The sequence below is a fragment of the Homo sapiens genome, chromosome 9 (assembly GCF_000001405.40).
Source record: "Homo sapiens chromosome 9, GRCh38.p14 Primary Assembly".
Taxonomy (NCBI): Eukaryota; Metazoa; Chordata; class Mammalia; order Primates; family Hominidae; genus Homo; species Homo sapiens.
Genome location: NC_000009.12, coordinates 83,568,575 through 83,590,446, shown reverse-complemented (window position 1 = coordinate 83,590,446; position 21,872 = coordinate 83,568,575). Strand labels below are relative to the sequence as shown.

Here is a 21,872-nt window from a genome sequence, read left to right as displayed (position 1 = left end):
GGAGTTTGTAGTGAGCCAAGATGGCACCATTGCACTCCAGCCTGGGCAACAAAAGTGAAATTCTGTCTCAAAAAAAAAGTATGTCTTGTTTATAATAATTTTATGGGTGGGAAAAATAAGATGGAAGTCAGAGGGTTTCCCAGGGTCATAGGGCAAGTCATTAAGTGATCACCATTTAAATTTAACTCAGTTCTTACACTTGGGTGTGAGGTGATGTATGCTGGGTGTAGCAAGCCATTCTTCACTTTTTAATTTGACAGAAAACTCACTTTATACATTTATCCTCAATTTTGTTTCTTGATTTAACTCCAGATTTTATCATATGACATTAAAAGCAGACATCCGAATGAAACTTATCTTTGTTTTAACTTCATACGCTACCTGGCTTCAAGCTATACTACCAGGCTACAGTAACCAAAACAGCATGGTACTGGTACCAAAACAGAGATATAGATCAATGGAACAGAACAGAGCCCTCAGAAATAATGCTGCATATCTACAACTATCTGATCTTTGACAAACCTGACAAAAACAAGCAATGGGGAAAGGATTCCCTACTTAATAAATGGTGCTGGGAAAACTGGCGAGCCATATGTAGAAAGCTGAAACTGGATCCGTTCCTTACACCTTATACAAAAATTAATTCAAGATGGATTAAAGACTTAAACGTTAGACCTAAAACCATAAAAACCCTAGAAGAAAACCTAGACATTACCATTCAGGACATAGGCATGGGCAAGGGCTTCATGTCTAAAATACCAAAAGCAATGGCAACAAAAGCCAAAATTGACAAATGAGATCTAATTAAACTAAAGAGCTCCTGCACAGCAAAAGAAACTACCATCAGAGTGAACAGGCAACCTACAAAATGGGAGAAGATTTTCGCATCCTACTCATCTGACAAAGGGCTAATATCCAGAATCTACAATGAACTCAAACTAATTTACAAGAAGAAAACAAACAACCCCATCAAAAAGTGGGTGAAGGATGTGAACAGACACTTCGCAAAAGAAGACATTTATGCAGCCAAAAAACACATGAAAAAATGCTCACCATCACAGGCCATCAGAGAAATGCAAATCAAAACCACAATGAGACACCGTCTCACACCAGTTAGAATGGCAATCATTAAAAAGTCAGGAAACAACAGGTGCTGGAGAGGATGTGGAGAAATAGGAACACTTTTACACTGTTGGTGGGACTGTAAACTAGTTCAACCCTTGTGGAAGTCAGTGTGGCGATTCCTCAGGGATCTAGAACTAGAAATACCATTTGACCCAGCCATCCCATTACTGGCTATATACCCAAAGGACTGTAAATCATGCTGCTATAAAGACACATGCACATGTATGTTTATTGCGGCACTATTCACAATAGCAAAGACTTGGAACCAACCCAAATGTCCAACAATGATAGACTGGATTAAGAAAATGTGACACATATACACCATGGAATACTATGCAGCCATAAAAAATGATGAGTTCATGTCCTTTGTAGGGACATGGATGAAATTGGAAATCATCATTCTCAGTAAACTATTGCAAGAACAAAAAACCAAACACCGCATATTCTCACTCATAGGTGGGAATTGAACAATGAGAACATATGGACACAGGTAGGGGAATATCACACTCTAGGGACTGTTGTGGGGTGGGGGGAGGGGGGAGGGATAGCTTTAGGAGATATACCTAATGCTAAATGACGAGTTAGTGGGTGCAGTGCACCAGCATGGCACATGTATACATATGTAACTAACCTGCACGTTGTGCACATGTACCCTAAAACTTAAAGTATAATAATTAAAAAAAAAAAACCATGGCATGGGAACCTCCCATTAGCATGGCCTTTAGGTTGGAAGGGAAAGGAAGAATCACTTAGCCAAGACTGAACAAAACATCAATCATTTGAAAAGATTGCTTGGCCTCTGATGAACTAGAAAAGAGTTGACTCACTAACCTATATTTCCCTCTGCTTACACTATTAACATGCTTTAGTGACACAGTCTGTTCAGTAATCTGGATCCTTAACATAAAACACTTCACTTGACATTTTTGCTTTTTTAGTTGCGTGTGGGAGGTACATTGTCATAAGCAGATTAGAACAAGGGAGTAGATGTTGAGAGAGAAGTTGAAAGAAAAAAAATTCTGTCTCACAAATGTGGTTCTGATTACATATTCAAGATGAACAATTACAGTTTTGGGGCAATCCTACTTAGGAAAAAGAATACCTAAGAATACTTATCCAAGTGAAAGTATTCTTTGTTCAAATCCTGAATATTTGTTTACCTCCAAGCTAGGTGATTATTTTTACTCTCACTGGTTGGATGTAAAATACTCCCTACTTCTCCTGAAAGGCTAGGGTGGGGATGGGACAGATTCCAAATGAAACCACCAGCTCCTTTCAACTTGACATCAGGATGTACGCTGGGCAAAAATTGTGAAAAAATAAGCTTGTCTTTCTTGCCTTTACTTTAAGAAAATTGTGATTAAATATAACATGAAATTTATCATCTTAACCATTTTGAGTGTACAGTTCAGTAGTGTTAAGTACATTCACATTGTTGTACAATCAATCTCCAGACTCTTTCATCTTGTAAAACTGAAACCCATTAAACAATTCTCCATTTCTCCATCCTTCCAACTACTGGCAACCACCCTTCTAGTTTCTGTGTCTGTAAATTTGACAACTTTAGATACTTCATATAAGTGGTACCTTACAGTGTTTGTCTTTTTGTGACTGGCTCATTTCATTTAGCAGAATGTCCTCAGTGTTCATCCATGTTGTCACATGTGTTAGAATTTCTTCCCTTTTTAAGGCTAAATAATATTCTCTCATATTATGTACCACATTTTGTTTATCCATTCATCTGTTGACGAACACTTGGGTTGCTTCCAGCTCTTGATGTGGGTGTGCAAACATCTGTTTTTTTTTTTTTTTTTTTTTTGAGATGGAGTCTTGCTCTGTCACCCAGGCTGGAGTGCAGTGGCACGATCTAGGCTCACTGGAACCTCCACTTCCCAGGTTCAAATGATTCTCCTGCCTCAGCCTCCTTAGTAGCTGGGACTACAGGCGCACACTACCATGCCCGGCCAATTTTTTGTATTTTTAGTAGAGACGGGGTTTCACCATGTTGGTCAGGCTGGTCTCCAACTTCTGACCTTATGTGATCCACCTGCCTTGGCCTCCCAAAGTGTTGGGATTACAGGCGTGAGCCACTGCACCCAGCTGCAAATATCTCTTTGCGAGCCTGCTTTTGATTATTTTGAGTATATACCTAGATGAGGGATTGCTAGATGATATGGTAATTTTATCTTTAGTGTTTTGAAGAACTGCCATATTGTTTTCCATAACAATGACACAATTTTACATACCCACCAGCAGAGCACAAGGGTTCCAGTTTCTCCATATCCTCACCAACACTTGTTATTTTTTTTCTGTTTTTAATAGTAGACATGCCAATGGGTGTAGGGTGATGTTGTGGTTTTGTTTTGCATTTTTCCATTGATTAGTGATATTGAACATCTTGTCATATGCTTGTTGGCTACTTGTATATAATCTTTGGAGTAATGCCTATTTAGCCTTTATTTTTTTGCACTCTTTATCTCATTGGGCTGCCTCCCTCATCCATATCCCTTCTTAATTATTTATGCCTTATATAGATCCTAAAAGAGGACTTGTGGCAGCTTCCAAGGATATGTATAAGAAGACAAAATAGTTGAGAAAATGGGATAAAAGAAAGCACAGTGAGGAAAATAAGATGAAGCCCAGGGGTAGGGTTAGGGCACAGAGCACATTTCAATAGCCCTCTTAAGTTGCTGTGGCTGCAGGTTCCCTAGCAGCTAGGGCAGAAGGGAAAACATAATAATTTGTTGTAAGGTAAACCCAAAAAGGCTTCTCAGGAGAGCACATCCCTTCCTGCCTCTGTGGCCTGAGAAGTTTTCCCCGCGGGACTGAGTGGGGGTTAGGACTTCAACAGATGAATTTTGGTAGGGGGGCACAATTCAGCCCATAACAGTTATTTTACTAAGAGGGGAGAGGTTGTTAAAATCTCCAACTTTTTTTTTTTTTTTTTGCACAGGTTAGAGTCCAGTGGCATGATCTTGGCTCACCGCAACCTCTGCCTCCCAGGTGCAAGTGATTCTCCTGCCTCAGGCTCCTGAGTCGCTGGGATTACAGGTACACACATACCACCACACCCGGCTAATTTTTGTATATTTAGTAGAGATTGGGTTTCACTCTGTTGGCCAGGCTGGTCTCAAACTTCTGACCTCAAGTGATCCACACATCTTGGCCTCCCAAAGTGTTGGGATTACAGTCGTGAGCCACCGCACCCAGCCAAAATCTCCAACTTTGATTGTGGATTTGTTTCTCTTTCTTTTCAGTTTGGTTGCTTTTGCTTTACATAATTTGAAGCTGTCATATTAAGTGCATACAAATTTAAGATTAAAAAAATCTTCCTGTGGACATTATTCTTTTATCATTAGGTAAGGTTCCTGTTTATCTCTTATTTTCCACTTGGGATATTCATTAGCCCTTTCTAAGGAGCCAACCTGAAGTATTTAGTTTCCCTGATTATGCTGTGCACTCATAAACTTAAAAAAAATCTAATTAGATAATACTTGTGTGGAATTTCTCTATTGTTTGGGATTACATTTGTGTGCATGTATCAGAAAACCAAAAAATAACAATAGCTTAGATAAGTTGGAAGTTTATTTCTAACTTGCATAAAGAGCTCTGAAAGTAGAAAGTTCTGTGGATGGTAGTTGCACATAATCATAGGAGACTCACGCTCCTGTCTCTCTGCCTCTCTACATAGCGTTTCTTGGCCCAAGATGGCTGCTTGGAGCTCCAGCCATCAAGTCTGTATTCCAGGCAGCAGGAAGGAAGAAGAGAGGTGAGTATAAGCTCAATGCTGCTTACACTCCATTGGTCAAAATTTAGATGCATAGCCACAGCCAACTCCAAAGGATCCTGGGAAATGCACTCTTTATAGGTAGCAATGTGCCCAGGTAAAAAGCGGGATTCTGTGAATAGAGAGGAAGAAACAATGAATGTCAGATTAGGCAAATAAGAGTTTCTATTACTGCATTATATATAGAGTTTCTTCCAAGACTGCCCCCTTACTGGTTGGGTTCTTTGGATCCTTAAGCCTTTGGTCCTGGCTGCTCGCTTTGCTGCAGGAAGCACCTTGTTCCTCCTGGCTGAGTGGGCTCCATTTCATATGGAATGAGGCTGAGCTCTGGCGGTGGCATCCTGCAGGGCTGCCCTGGAGGTTTCCTGGCTCCCTCACAATCCTGCTGTGTCTTCCAGGCTGCTGCCACCGCCCACAAAGTTTACAACCCAGACATAGCAGGACTCAGGGTTTGCCAGTCTCCCCGAGAGGCTCCAAATGAGAGAAGTGATGTTCCTAAGGTTTTAATGAGGCTCTAGTTTAAGAAACCTCAGACTTAAACGAAAGGTGAATTGAAATGCTTTATTCTTGTTCCCTGCCTCTGTCTTTCATGTCTTTCAAGCCCCTGTGAGGCTTTATTTACTTAATTCAATAATAGAAGTCTATTATAATGAATAGAGCTAACACTGCGTGACACCTCATTTGTCCTATTATCGATCCATTTCACGGATCAGACAGCTGTTGCACAGAGAGATCAAGTCCCACAGCAATGAGTGCAGAATCTGGACTAGAACCCAGGCATTTGGGCTCCTGAGCCTGCCTTATTCCCTGAGAGGAGTGCTGGCTCTTCCTCTTATTGTTTCTCAAGGAGAATTACAAGAGGTGTGGCACAATTTTAAAAGCAAAGTGAAATTTGCTTGAAATCTCATAAGACACAGGTTTCAAGAAACAAAACTTTCTGTCCATGACAAAGTTCTTTATGGAAGAAGATGAGTGGCTGAAAGGGGAGGTGAGAGATGGAGTGACAATACCAACACCCCCTTCGCTGGACTTCCTCACTCTAAAATTAACGGGGATGAAAGAGTGAAGGCTAGGAAGGAGGCTGATTGGATGTGGAGGGAATATAAGAAGTTAAAATGCTCCTGAATGAGACAGGGAAAAGAGGAGTAAGACAAGGAGGAGGAGGAGGAGGAGATAATCGGGGGAGGTTAAGAGACTCATTTTACCTTATTTATTTTATTTTTTTGAGATGGAGTCTTGCTCTGTCACCAGACTGGAGTGCAGTGGTGCGATCTTAGCTCACTGCAGCCTCCATCTCCCAGGTCCCGAGTAGCTGGGACTACAGGTGTGCGCCACCATGCCCAGCTAATTTTTTTGTATTTTTAGTAGAGATGGGGTTTCACCATGTTGGCCAAGATGGTCTCGATCTCTTGACCTCGTGATCCACCCGCCTTGGCCTTCCAAAATGCTGGGATTACAGGCATGAGCCACCACGCCCGGCCAAGAGACTTATTTTAAACAGAGCCTGTGGAGCCAAACACTTGGAAGTCAGGCAGAAGAGGAATCACTATCGAAGGAGGCTGAAGAGGCAAGGCCAGAGAGGCAGGAGGAAAACCAGGATCAGGTGGGTTCAGGGAAGACAAGAAAGAGTTTCCACTGGCTGCAGTGGCTCATGTTTGTAATTTCAGCACTTCAGAGGCAGGAAGATTACCTCAGCCCAGGAGTTTGAGAGCAGCCTGGGCAACATAGTGAGACCCCATCTCTACAAAAAATACAAAAATCAGCTGGCCGTGGTGGCATGCACCTGTAGTCCCAGCTACTTGGGAGGCTGAGGTGGGAGGATTGCTTGAGCCTGGGATGTCGAGGCTGCAGTGAGCCATGATTGGGCCACCACACTCCGGCCTGGGCTACAGAGTGAGACCCTGTCTCAAAAATTTTTTTTTCAACAAGGGATTGTATCTAATGCAAGGGATTATATCTAATTTAGATTATATCTAAAGCAAGATGTAAATTGAAGTGTGTCTGATGGATCTGGTAATGTAATTTTAATTATACTTTGAGTAAAATGGTAAATATGTACTTTCCTTTGGAAAAAATATAATAGAAATGTGGCTAGTACGGTATTGTGAGAAAATGGGGCTGGCAGGGGGAAGGCTTTTGCATTACAAATTGCTGATGGTATTGCTAGAAAGGGCTTCTACCCCTCCCTCTGCTGGCAGGAATGGGACATGTCTGGTTCTATGTTGAGGGGAATCAAGTGTGAGTAGCGAGATGTTCTTAACACTGAAGTTTTCCAAAATGAAATGTAGTCAGCATGTTATTTTTTTGAAGCAACTTAAATTTTTACCAGGACAAATTTTTGTGCAGAAAAGCCAGTAAAAATAAGAAATAATAGTTTCTCTAAAGCGAATTCTCAAAAATAGAAGAGATTGGAAAGCTATGGAATAATTTGGGATGGAAAATATTACTCTTGGCTCTGGAAATGAGTTGTAAGTCATGGTTGGTGAAGATCTTAAATATCATCTGGAGAGGACTTGTGTTTAGTGGAATAAGTTCAGTTTTTAAAACATTGATTCATTATGAGTGAGACGTGCTCCATGTTCAAGAGGCTATAGGCTTATCGATCCCAAATTGCAACGTCTCTTACAACTTGAAACTGATTATCTGGATCTGTTTGAAAAATTTCCCCAGGTGCTTCATTAATTGTACCTGATCTCAAATCTAGGCCAAAAATGGTACTTCAATTTGAGAACAGAGTCACTGACACCATAAATAATGTTTGGGAACCTCTCCAAATGCTAATTCCAGGGCTTTGAAGTAAAAATATAGCATCTCACCAATATTTCATTTTTCTTCTAAATTTGCATTAAACTTATTACCAAGGACATACAAAGTGAGTAACTTTTTGTTATGTTTTTGCTTGTTTAGGTTAACAGATTCTGCTATGGAGAGTTTTATACCTCATCCAAGATTGTAGTTAGAGCACACTGTTGTATGTGCAAGTTGGTGATTTGAAATTATTCCAATATAATGGGAGTTACTACCTTTTCTTACCCCAAGAATTTAAAATAAAAAGACCACTCTTTATTAAATTATCCACAGTAAAACAGATACTAGGTTCCCTAATAAATCAAGTTTAAGAGCAAATATACTCTAAATCCTTTTAAACTAAATAGTATCACTTTAATGAACTAAATTTAAGAATTGGAAGTTCTCTTGAAAATCCACTGAATATCTTTTCACTAAACCTGGAATTCTTCCAATTGCAACATTTTCTGATCTGGGTATTTCTCAAGACTTGATTAAGATATTGCTTTTCGGCTGGATGCAGTGACTCATACCTGCAATCCCAGGGCTTTGGGAGGTTGAGGTGGGAGGATCACTTGAGCCCAGGAGTTCCAGTCTTTATGGGCTATGATTGTGCCACTGTACTCCAGCTGGGGTGACAGAGTGAGATCCTGTCTCTAAAGAAAAAAAAAGAGATTACTTTTTATTACTTATGACAACCTTTTGAGGTATAATTCTTATATCATACAATTAACAGTGTATAATTCAATGGTTTTAGTATATTCACAGAGTTACGCAAGCATCGCTGCCATCAAGTTTAGAACATTTTCATCATTCTAACATGAAACCATGTACCCATCACTCCCCATTTCTCCCCAACCACTCTGCCGGCTATTTTGGACATTTCACATAAAAGAATTCATACACTATGTGGTCTTTTGGGATTAATTTCTTTCACTTAGCATAACTACACACTTCATTTTTTTATTGCAAAATAATATGCTATTGTATGAATATGCCACATTTTATTTATTCATTAATCCGCTGACGAACATTTGGGTTGTTTCCACTTTTTGTGTGTGGCTATTTTGAATGCTTCTATGAACATTTGTATACAAATTTTTGTGTGGACATACATTTTTGCTTTTGTTGGACATATACCTAGGAATGGAATTATTGAATCATATGGTAAGTCTGTGTTTAACCTTTTGGGGAAGTGCCACACATTTTCTCAAAGCAGCCACACCATTTTACATTCCCATCAACAGTGTATTAGGGTTCCAATCACTCCACATCCTTGACAATACTTGTTATTATCTGCCTGATTATAGCCTTCCCAGTGGATGTGAAGTGGATCTTGTGGTTTTGATTTGCATTTCCTCAATGATTACGGAAGTTGAGCATCTCTTCATGTGCTTATTGGTCATTTGTGTATCTTTGGAGGACTGTCTATTCAAATCCTTTGCCTGTTTTAAAACTGGGTTGCCCTTTTATTATTGAGTTGTAAGAGTTCTTTATATACTTGGTATACAATTTCCTTAACGGGGTGTAATTTGCAAATATTTTCTCCCATTCTGTGGGTTTTTTTCACTTTTTGGATGGTGTTCACTGAAGCACAAAAGTTAAATTGTTTTAGCATTTTAAAATTTATTTTATTTATTTAACATTTCATCTTTAAAAAGTAAACCTTTAATATGAAAATTTTCAAACAAACATGAGACAATATAATGAATCTCCTTGTTTTTAGCACCCAGCCTCAACAATTTGCTGTTCTTGTTTGATCTAGCCTCCCTCTCCACAACACTTTTATTTTCCATTATGCTTTGTTTTCTTCTGAAGTTTTTTTCATTTAAAAAAATTAGTATTATTTTTAATTGACAAATCATAACTGTATACATTCATGGGGTACATTGTGGTATTTTGATATATGTATATAATGTGAAATGATTAAATCAAACTAGTTAACATAACCATCACCTTACTTGATATTTTTTGTGGCAATACATTTGAGATTTCTTCCCTTGGTTATTTTGAAGTATACGTTATTGACTGTAGTCACTCTTCTGTGTAGTAGATCTCAAAACTTATTGTTCCTGTCTAGCTGAAACTTTGTACCCTTTGGCCAATAATTCCCCGTTCATTCTCTTGATCCCCATACTCCCAGGTTCTGGTGCCATCATTCTGCTTTCTACTGCTATGAATTCAACTTTTTAAAGATTCCATATATAAGTGAGATCACGAGGTACGTGTTTTTCTGTGCCTGGCTTATTTCACTTAGTATACTGTCCTCCAGATTTATCCATGTTGTTTCAAGTGACAGAATTGCCTTCTTTTTACAGACTGAATAGTATTCCATTGTCTGGACATACATTATCTTTATTCATTTATCTGTTAGTGAACACAGGTTGATTCCTTATCTTGGCTATTGGGAGTATGGGAGTACAGATATCCTTTTGATACAATGATTTCAATTCCTTTGAATATGTTCCCAGAAATGAGAGTACCGGATTGTACAGAGTTCTACTTTTACTTTTTTGAGCAACCTACACACAATTTTTTCATGATGGCTATACCAATTTACATTTCCACCAACAGCATACATGGGTTCCCTTTTCTCAGCATCCTCACCAACACTTGTTATCTTTTCTCTTTTTGATAAAAGCCATTCTAACAAGGGTGGCATGATATCTCATTATGGTTTTAATTTTTATTTCCCTGATAATTAGTGACATTGGGCATTTTCTTCATGGCCCTGTTGGCCATTCGTATGTCTTCTTTTGAGAAGGGCCTATTCAGATTCTTTACCTATTTTTAAATTGGGCTATTTGTTTTTCTTACTATTGAGAAATTCACTATTTGAGTTTCTTATATATTTTAAATATTAAGCTTTATCAGGTATATAGTTGCATAGTTGCAAAGATGTCTCTTCACCTTGTTAATTGTTTCTTTTGCTGTGTCAAAGCTTTTTAGTTTGATACAATTACATTTGTCTATTTTTGCCTTTGTGGCCTGAGCTTTCAGGGCCATATCCAAAAAACCATTGCGCCCAGGCTAATGTTGTGGAGATTTCTGCCTATGCTTTTGTCTAGTAGTTTTACAGTTCCAGGTTTTATGTTTAAGTCTTTAATTCATTTTGAGTTGTTTTTGGTTCATGGTGTCAGATAAGTTTCTAATTTTATTCTTTTGCATGTGGATATCTAGTTTTCCCAGCACCATTTGTTGAAGAGGTCATCCTTTCTCCATTGTGTGTTCTTGGAACCTTTGTCAAAAATCAATTGACTGTATATGTGTGGGTTTATTTACAGTCTTTCTATTCTCTTCCGTTGGTTGATGTGTCTGTTTTTATGCCATTACCATGCTGTTTTGATTACAATAGCTTTATAACATACTATGAAATCAGGGAGTGTGATGTCTCCAGCTTTGTTCTTTTGTAGTTCCACATGAATTTAAGGATTTTTTTTTTTTTTACATTTCTCTGAAAGCTGACATTGGAATTTTCATAGAGATTACATTGAATCTATAGACAATTTTGGGTAGTATAGGCATTTTAAACAATATTAATTCTTTAGCTTCATGAACATGGAATATCTTTCATTTGTTTGTGTTTCCTCCTATTATTTCATCAGTGATTTGTAGTTTCCAGTACAGAGGTCTTTCATCTCCTTGGTTAAATTTACCCCTAAGGTTTAAATTTTTTTCTTGTTACTATTGTAAATGTAATTGTTTCCTTTTTGAATAGTTTGTTATTAGTGTTTAGAAATGCTACTAATTTTCATATGTTGTTTTTGTATCCTGCAACTTTACTAAATCTGTTTATCAGGTCTAGCAGTTTTTTGGTGGAATCTTTGGGATTTTCTATATATATGATCATGTCATCAGCAAACAGAGAAAATTTTACTTTTTTCTTTTCTATTTGGATGCCTTTTATTTCTTTCTCTTGCCTAATTGCTCTGGCTAGGACTTCCAGTATTATGTTGAAAAGAAATGATGAGAGTGGGCATCCCTGTGTTGTCCCTGAACTCAGAGGAAAATCTTTCAATTTTTTACTGTTGAGTACTATGTTAGCTATGTGACCTTTATTGTGTTGAAGTCCATTTCTTCTGTACCTAATCTGTTAAGAGTTCTGTTTTTTTACCATGAAAGAGTGTTGAATTTTATCAAATGATTTTTCTGCATTTATTGAGATGATCAGATGATTTTTATACTTCATTTTGTAAATGTGGTATATCACATTTATAGATTTGTGTATATTGAACCATCCTTGCATCCCTGGGATAAATCTCACTTGGTCATGGTGAATGATTGTTTTGATATGTGATTGAATTTCCTAGTATTTTGTTGAGGATTTTTCCATCTATGTTCATCAGGGATATTGACCTATAGTTTTTTTCTCTTGTACTATCCTTGTCTGACGTTGGTATCTGGGTAATGCTGGCCTCATAAAATGAATTTCGAAGTGTTCCCTCCAGTTCAATTTTATAGAAGCATTTGAGAAGGATTAGTATTAGTTCTTCTTTAAATGTTTGGTAGAATTTAGCTGTGAAGCCATTTGGTCCTGGGCTTTTCTTTGATGAGGTAATTTTTTATTACGGATTCAGCTCCTTACTCATTATTGGTCTGTTCAGATTTTTTTTTTATTTCTTCATAGTTCAATGTTGGCAGGCCGTTTGTGTCTAGAAATTTATCTATTTCTTCTAGATTATCCAATTTGTTAGCATATGAGTGTTCACAGTAATTTTCTTTGATCCTTTGCATTTCTTTGCTATCTGTTGTAATGTTTCCTCTTTCATTTCTAATTTTATTTATTTTAATCTTCTCTCTTTTTTTCCTAGTTAGCCTAAGAGTTTGTCAATTTTATCTTTTAAAAATGCAACTCTTATTGTCATTAATTTTTTTGTCTATTATTTTCTGGTCTCCATTTATTTCTGCTCTGATCTTTGTTATTTCCTTCCTTCAGCCCAATTTGGACTCAGTTTGTTCTTCTTTTTCTAGTTGCTTGAAGATTGTTTATTTGAGATCTCTCTTCTTGTTTGGTATAGGCGTTTGTTGCTATAAAAACAATAAAGTCCAGTTCTTTTCCCCCTTTGTTGCTTGTGCTTTTTGTGTCATATCCAAGAAGGCTTTGTCTAACCCAAGATCACAGAGATTTCTACCTATGTTTTCTCCGAAGAGTTTTATAGTTTTAACTTTTGCATTTAGGTCTATGATCCACTTGGAGTGTTTGTATATATGGTGAGGAATGGGTCCAACTTTATTTTTGTGTAGATAGATATCCAGTGGTCACAGCACTGTTAGTTAAAAAGACCATTCTTTCCCTCATCGAATTGTCTTGACGTTCTGTTGAAATCAGTTGACCATAAATGTGAAGGTTTATATGTGAACTTTGATTCTATTCTATGGATCTACATGTCTATTCTTATGCCAGTACCTACACTGTCTTATTTACTATTGCTTTTATGAAATTGGAAAGTGTGCATCCTACAACTTTATTTGTAAGATGATTTTGGCTGCTCTGGGTCCTTTATATTTCCATATGTATTTTAGAATTTTGCCAGTTTCTGGAAAAAAAAAGTCAGCTGGGCTTTTGATAGGGATTGTACTCAATCTATAGATCAATTTGAGGGTATTGCCATCTTAATAATATTCTTCCAATATATCAACATGGGATAATATGTCTTTCTATTTATTTAGGCTTTTAATTTCTTTTAGCAATGTTTTTTACTTTTAAGAATTTGTAGTTGTTTTAAAAAGAAGTATTTTATTTTTTGATACTATTGTGAATGAAACTGTGTTCTTAAATGTTTAGATTTTCATTCCTAGCATAGAGAAATACAATCGATAGTGCATATTTTGTATATTAAGCTGGCAACCTTGCTGAACTTGTTGATTAGTTCTAATAGATTTTTTAGTGGATTCATTAGGATTTTCTGTATATAAAATCATGTCAAAATAGAGGTAGTTTTATTTCCTTATTTCCAATCTGGGTGCCCTTTATTATTTTTTTCTTGCCCAATTACCTTGGCTATAAACTCCTGTACAATGTTAAATAGAAGTGGTAAGAATGGACATCCTTATCTTATTATTGATCATGGGGGAGAGTATTTAATCTTTTACTATTAAGATGGACACATAGAGGGGAATAACATACACTTGGGCCTGTTGGAGGATAAAGGGTTGGAGGAGGGAGAGGATCAGGAAAAATAACTCGTGGGTAGTAGGCTTAATACCTGGGTGATGAATTAATATGTACAACAAACACCATGACACAAGTTTACCTGTATAACATACCTGCACATGTACACTTGAACTTAAATAAAAGTTAACAAAAAGTATGATGTTAGCTGTGGGCTTTCTTGTAGATACTTTTTATTAGGTGAAGGAAGTTCCCTTTTGTTCCTGGTTTCCTGAGTAGTTTTACCATGGTAAAATGTAGAGTTCGACAATTTTTTTTTTTGCAACTATTGAGATGATCATATGGTTTTGTCTTTTATTATGTTGATGTGGTATATTACATTAACTGATTTTTGGCTACAAAACCAATCTTGCCCTCCTGGGATTAATTCTACTTGGCCATGGTGATTAATCCTTGTGTATGTTGTTGGATTTGTTTGCTAGTATTTCGTTCAGGATTTTTTTGTCTATAACTGTAAGAGGTATTGATCTGTAATTTTCTTTTCTTATGATGTCTTTGTCTGGCTTTTAGAAAATTTTTTATTTTTTTTTTGTAGAGATGAGGTCTTGCTATATTGCCCAAACTCCTGGCTTCGAGTGATCCTCCCGCCTTGGCCTTCCAAAGCACTGAGATTATAGGCATGAGCCAATGTGCCTGGCTTGTCTGGCTTTGATATCAGGGTAATGCTGGCCCAATAGAATTAGTTGAAAAGAATTCCCTACTTTTCTATTTTCTAGAAGAGTATGTGAAAAATTGGTATTAATTCTTCCTTAAACATTTGAAGGAATTCATCAACGAAGCTATCTGAGCCTGTACTTTTCCTCGTCGGAAGTTTAAAAGCTAGTAATTCAATCTCTTTATTTGTTATAGGTTTATTCAGATTTGTCTATTTCTTCTTTAGTCAGTTTCAGTAGTTCACATCTTTTTAGGAATTTATTTGACCTAAGTTATCCAATTCACTGGCATACAGTTTTGTGTGTTTATTGAACAAGTATATCCCCTCTTAATATGAGAACTCTCCCACCTCCATTCTCCATAGTTTATAGTGGGAGAATTCCCTAGTCACATTTATAAGGAGTGAGCTGGGCTTCCTAACTACCATTGATTGATCCATCTGACCAACTGGGGGTTGAGAAAGAGCTGCTTTTCCTCCAGTCACATGGGCCAGTAACCCATTAACTCAGAAGCTCTCAGAAGCCACATTTGACATCATGTTGCCTGAAAAATAGAGAAAACCATTCTGCAGCAAGAGGTATCAGTGAAGCTGACTGGAAGAGTACATATGGGAGGCAGAGGTTTGATTAGGACTAAACCCCTCGTTCTAGTTCATTATCGAAATTGGGTTTCATTCCTGCTAATAGTTTCACTCTCTCGCAGCCTTCTTTTTTTTCCCTTAAGTTCTTTGAGAGGATGTCTTTCAAATACAACTAATAGAATCTTGACTAATAGAGAGCTTGGTCCTAGGGAGCAGGCATTGTGAGTAACAGAACTTAAGGGATGATTTCAACTTGAGGCAGCAAGGCTGCATTCTGTGTTTTCAGGGTGATGTTGCAGTCAGTGGCGAGCTTCAGTCCCAGGAGCCTGGATGAAAGTAGACACAGAACGAGAGATCAAGGATGCAACAAGGAAGAAACATCTTCCCTGTTAGTACCCAGTGAACTGAGACTGGGCTAGAAAATCACATCTGGTAAGTAATAACAGCTGGACTCTCTGTTATTCCCCATCTCTAAAACTAAGATTGAGGTTTTTATGGGGAAGTTGGAGAATCAACAATTAGAAAGGAAAATCTTAGAGGTCCTGGGTTTCCTGATACCCCTTTTTCTAGGTCCTCTGTTGGACTAAGGGATGCAGCTTCCTGGACCAAAATAGAGCCTTAGGTACAGAGACAATCAGCCAGTGTAATCTGAGAGAAAGCCACCTTGCTAACCTACCCCACATTCTATTAATAGTTTCCCACGTGTGGCCCCAAACCAAGGTCCTTAAATAGATACAAAGAAGGTGAGAAAATTCCTCAGTGTTTCTGCTAAGAAACAAGCTGCATGGTCATGGCCTTGTCCCTGGAGTACCATTTAGCAGACCTAGGACTTTAAAGGTGATGAAAAGATTTGTGTCATGGAGTACTATTAAATGGAGTTCTTCTCGAATGGAACTTATCAGTGACCCATGAAATACACCAGTAATTTAATGTAGTTTATTATCTCTAATAAAAAGAGTAAAATATGTATTTTTGGCTAGTGCCCATTTGGATTTTTTTTGGTAGTTATTTTGTTTTTCCTCCACATTTGTATATAGGGTAGAAGTTGGTTACATTGATCACACTTATCATTTTGTTTGCCAGTTGTAAAATCAGAAAGGGTCATACCTGGAGCAGATGGAAATTACACTAAAGAAATAATGGACATCACCTGAAGATCCTGAATGGAGAGCAGTGGTTCTGTGAAATCTCCTTTGGGTGCAGTAGCTGGGTGTGGCTTTGCCACTAGGGAGAAGATGGTTGTGTTACATAAAGTAAGGTCATATTTGGAATTTCATGTGTAGCGGAAGAGGGTGTATATATGTTGAGTAGAAAAGAGAAGGAATGTATACTTATTGGGGTAATAGCCTTGCTATTTTTTAGAATAGCCTCCTTGTTTTTTAATCACACGCTTACAGTGGTGGAACTCTCAGCAGCCATGTTTTGAAAACAACACAGCCCTTTTGTCACTTTTGATTGACCCAAACTTGACCAAAATCCCTTTCTTGGACGCTTTTACTATTTCATCAGTTTAGTAATGGATGTCTGACTCAAGCTGGGAATGCTATGGGTGGCAAGGTGGGGGGTCAGGGGGAGGAGAGAGAGAGAGAGAGAGAGAGAGAGAATCGTTCTTTTCCTAATTACTGGACCAGTAACAAGTAAAGGTATTCAAGGTCATCATTTTTTGCCATATGGACTGAGGAGGAGAGGAAGCTGGATGCAGCAAGAGAGAGGAATGAAGGCAACACTCACAGAAGAGTAGAGATGAGAGGCAGAGAGACTAGTTGTGTTCAGGTCTCTGCTTCCAGCTTGCTCCTGGGGTCCCACTATTTCTTGCCATTAGGTTTTTGCGATCCAGTCCTTACAATCAGGTGTCCTGCTTTGCTTAACTTAATTTTAGTAAGATTCTTACTTATAACCAAAAGAATATAACTAATGTAGTCTGTTAAAGACACTAAAATCCTGTTTGCCACATTTATGGTAAAATTTTTAGTATAATGATTTGTTATATAAACAAAAACATGGCAATATCATTCTTAGCCTATAGGCTTTTTAAGTGAAAAAGAAAACTATAATTTCTCCTCCTTCTCCACCATCTTCTTCCCATCTTCCTCTTTCTTCTTTTCTGAATCTTCTTCCTTTTTTTTGGTGCTCTTGGAGCCTAGAACAATGATGGGCATTAATAGATGCTCAATTAATGTTTATTGACCTAAACTGAACATAAATAAATAGGAAAATAAGAAAGAAATTCCTCCACAATCTCACCACTACATGAATAAAACTCTTTTCAGTCATCCCTGTACTTACCATTGTCCACATTCTTCCGTCATTTTTATTTTTCTGCAATCCCAGGATAGACCCAGTTTTGATTCCTACCTTTGTTCAATAACACTGTATTATAAATACATTTCCATGATGGTCACAGCCTTTAAAATTGCAATTATTATTGTTGCTTCAATAACAGGAAAAGATAAATGTAGAAAGTATTTTTTATTGAATATTTCATAAGGCCAAACAGAAATGGAAAGTGCTTTCATTATAGTCAACAAGCCAAATCTCTGGCTTTTCTCTTGCTTCATTGCCTTTCCCTGAGAAACCACATCCTGCACAAATCCAACTCTGCTCTTACTCCACGCCTGTTCCCGTGCTGCTGAACCAGGCTGGAAGAAAAACACAGCCACACATGCCTGTCTCACTTTCACTTCCTGACCACTCACCCCAAGAAGGCTCATAATGCTGCGTAGCAATCATTCTATATTTCTCTAATCTATTTACTCTCCCTTCTCTTAGGCGATTCTTTGCATTCTTTAACCTCCAAACTCTGACGCTGCCTCCTCCAGCCTCTCTCTCAGGGGATAACTACATATTCTTTCACTGAGAAATGAGAGACAATGAAAAGAGACTTCACAAGGCCCCGGTGCCACCTCTCATCTACCTCCATTTGTTCTGATATACTCTACTTTCCCTCTAGTTATTAAGAATGAATTGAACATGCTGCCCTTTCAGGCCTGTCCTTTCTCGGCACTGATTCTATCCTCTCACCAGCTCAAGGATTTTCCTCCAGCAATTCCCTACCATTTCCACTATCCCCATCTCTTGAAACAGTATTCTTTTCCTCTTTACTTGACTCTTCTCATTAGACTACAAATGTGCTGTTACCACTTGCCTACACACACACACATGCGCATGCACACACACACACACACACACACACCTCAAAAAACTTCACCATCTATCTATTGCTCCATTTCTTGTCTTCCTTGTCAAGCAAAATTCTGTGAGTCTAGTGGTTCTCAAAGTGTGGTATAAGTACCAGCAGCATTAGCATCATCTGGGAGCTTGTAAGAAATACATATTCTTGGGCCTTACTCCAAATTTACTGAATCAAAAATTCTGGGTGTGGGCCCAGCAATCTGTGCTTTAACAAGCCTGCAGGTGATTGTGATCTATACTGAATGTTGGGAACCACTGTTTACGTATAGTTGTTGACTCCAATTTCTCTTCTCTCATTCTCTTTGAAACACACTCCAGCCAAGCTTTAGGTTCCCCTGTTTCACAGAAATTCCTCTGTCAAGGTCAAGAATGATCTTCATTGGTGGGACCAGGTTTCTCATTGTCAGAGAGTAAAGTTACAGATGAGCAAGACAGGAAGGCTAGAATGAACTCTGTGGTACTGGGTTAAGGTCAGAGATGTCAGTGTGGACTTATGTTTAGCTGAATATATAATTTCTGTCTTAGCTAGATGTCTCCCTTGGCCCCAGCCTTGTGTACCCAACCGTCTACTTGAAATCTCAATTCAGATGTCAACACGCAACTAAAATTTAACCTGACTAAAACAAAGCTACTGGTATCTCCTTCACAGGCTTGCTCTTCCTGCAGTCGTCACTATTTTCATGAATGGCAATTGCATCCTTTTGGTTGCTCAAGTCAAAAACCTTGGAAGTCTATCTTAGTCTGTTTTGTGTTGCTAAAACAGAATACCAGAGACTCCGTAATTTATAAAGAAAAGATGCTAATTTGGCTTATGACTCTGGTGGCTGGGTGGTTCAAGATTGGGCAGCTGCCTCTGGTGAAGGCCTCTTGTTGCTTCTACTCATGGTGGAAAGTAGAAGGGGAGTGAAGAGGAGTGAAGTTTGCAAAGAGATCACATTGGGAGAGGGGAAGCAAGAGAAACCAAGGAAGCCAGACTCTTTTTAAGAACCTTTTTTTGCAGGAATGAATCCATTCCTGAGAGAGCAAGTGCTCACCTCCATGGGAGAACATTAATCTGTCCATGAAGGAATCCCCCCCAGCCTCAATGACTCAAAGACCTCCCACTAGTCCATATGACTTACATTGCCACATTGGGAATCAAATTTCAGCATGAGTTTGTGCAGGGACAGACTAAATCCAAAACATAGCAGAGTCATTTTTGACTTTTCTTTTACCTTATGTGCAGTCTTTTCAGTCCTACTTTCAAAATATACTCCGAACCCAGTCACTCCTCACCACCTCCTTTGCTACCCAGGTCCAAACCACCATCATTTCTTGCCTAGATTACGGAAGCCGATTCCTAACTGGTCTCCCTGCTTCTGCCCTTGCCTCTCTTCATGTGTTCTCAACACAGCAGCAAGTGTTCCTGTCAGTTTGTAAGTCAGATCATGCCAAAATCTGCTCAGAATTCTTTATTGAGTTCTCAATACTCTCAGAGTTAAAGTCAAATCCTTTCCATTGCTAACTGGTCCCTGTGTGATCTATTCACTTTGCAATGCTGTCTGACTTGAAATCCTGCTACTTTCGGTCTCCAGTCCAGCTACTAAGACCTCATGGCTGTTCTTCAACAATCCAAGCATATGACTCCCTGAGGATCTTTGTACTCATTGCATTATTTGCTGAGAACACTAAGTGTGTGATAATTTGTTATGCAACAGTAGAAAACCAATGCAGATTAAATCACATGAAATTGCCAGTAGTTCAAAAGTAATATATGACCTCCAAGATGGCAATTTCTTGTGATTCTATGTAATGAATTGCAACAGTCATCTTTACTCCCAACACCCCCTTTTCCTTTCCCTGCTTATTTCCCCTCAGATAATTGGATCACCATCTAGTTTACTATTTTTCTTATGTATTCTGGTTATAAGTTGTTTCTTCCCACAGCAAGGTAATCAGATACCTCTATCTGCTTTGTTCATGCTGTTGTCCCAGTGCCTAGAGGAGTGCCTGACATACAGTAGATACTTAGTAAATGTTTGTCAAATGTTGCATGAGTGAATGAAGGTAAGCGGAGGAGATGGGAATTTGAGCAACATGAACCACTTTGTTGGACAAAAACTCAAACTGAAAATCTGATGGGAACTTGAAAAAGCCAGGAGCTCTGTATTCATCCTTAAACTTTGGAGTTTCCAGAATCCGACATTCTGGAGAATTTCAGTTTCTGTGCTGAAATGCCTTCAATTCAACACAAAACAACTAAAATAGAAAAATACAAAGTTCTCAGAGTAGGAATTCTGGGAAATACAATTGAAGCTGAGGTTTGGGTGGGGACACAGCCAAACCATGTCAAGGAGTATGTAGAAATATGCTGAAGTATATATTAAATTAAGTGGCGAAATCAAAATAATACCCATATTAAAATTGTAGCCGTTTTGAAAACACGTATCAAGTACTACTTGGCTTTCAAAAGAGACAAATCTTATCATCTGCAACAGCATGGATGAAACTGGAAGATATTATGCCTGGCCTCAGAAGGCCAGGTCAAAAAGTCTAGCAGCTAAATTTAGAGAGCTAGAAATGGAAACAGCAGCAATCAAATGGCTACTTTCCTTCCTCAATTTGAGGTCAATGGCAGGATGGAGGAAGGAAACTGCAGCTTCTGAGAACAGGCTGAGCACTGGGTGGCAAGTCCCCGTTTCTGTGGGCAGCATGCTCTCAGCCTCAGCTCCTGGGCCAGGCAGACGCCTGTGGGTGGGCTGGGACACTTTAGATTGGGTTGGGGAGAGTCTATTTATCAAAAATGAGATCCATCTGCAAGAGGAGGGATCTCTTCCAATGTTATTGAAGTTTTCCAGTCCATCTAAGGTAAATTTTCTTCCTTAAGTAGATGGTATGCATTTTTAAAACATGGCATTAAGTATCTACATGTTTTCTTTAGCAGAGTATCGTACCTGAGCACAGATATCTTCTTAGTCTACCTTCAGAAAGTCTCTGGAGCATTCAGGCTAGAATTTAATATCCTTCGTGCCCATATTCTCCTTTTTTAAATAGCTTATTATCTTTGCAAAGAAAAGTTTATCTAGACTGCTGCAGGAAATTGAAGGGTTAATCCTATCCCTTACTCATATTGGCTATTGAAATCATTTCCCAATATTGTGTCCAATTATTACCTCTATGTATGTATGTATGTATGTATGTATGTATGTATGTATCTATCTATCTATCTATCTATCTATCTATCTATCTATCTTTTCTAACAAGTTGTAGTTATTCACATTTATGGAGTATAATGTGATATTTTGATATAGATCAATGTGGCATGATCTATTTAAGCTAATTAACTTATCCATCATCTGACTTACCTATCATTTTTTACACTGAGACATCTGAAATTTACTCTTACTTATTATTAAATATATAGTACATTATTTTGACTATAGTAATCTTAATTGCAGTAAACCTAGTCCTCCTGTCTGTCTGAAACTTTATACCTTTTGATCAGTAATTCTCCATTCCCTTCTTCTCCACCCCACAGCGTCTGGTGACCATTGTTCTACTCTCTAATTCTTTGAGTTCACCTTCTTTTAGATTCC

General features: G+C 38.2%; 1 protein-coding gene across 2 annotated transcripts in view, besides 1 other annotated feature; it reads left to right on the top strand.

Annotated features, from left to right (window-relative positions):
• Positions 1,939-2,233: a silencer, noted in NCBI's record as "tiled region #13153; HepG2 Repressive non-DNase unmatched - State 24:Quies". NCBI's record gives its function as "represses a minimal TATA promoter and a strong SV40 promoter by Sharpr-MPRA in HepG2 cells {active_cell/tissue: HepG2}" and the evidence as "EXISTENCE:reporter gene assay evidence [ECO:0000049][PMID:27701403]".
• FRMD3 (FERM domain containing 3) overlaps positions 4,653-21,872 on the top strand; it is a 342,803-nt gene continuing 325,583 nt past the window's right edge. The window contains exons 1-2 of one of the 2 annotated variants that reach the window (XM_024447487.2): positions 4,653-4,894; positions 15,392-15,537. The gene's annotated coding sequence lies outside the window, so the exon portion shown is untranslated. The remainder of the gene's footprint in view (positions 4,895-15,391; positions 15,538-21,872) is intronic. The other variant, XM_047423155.1, reaches the window with a different exon arrangement.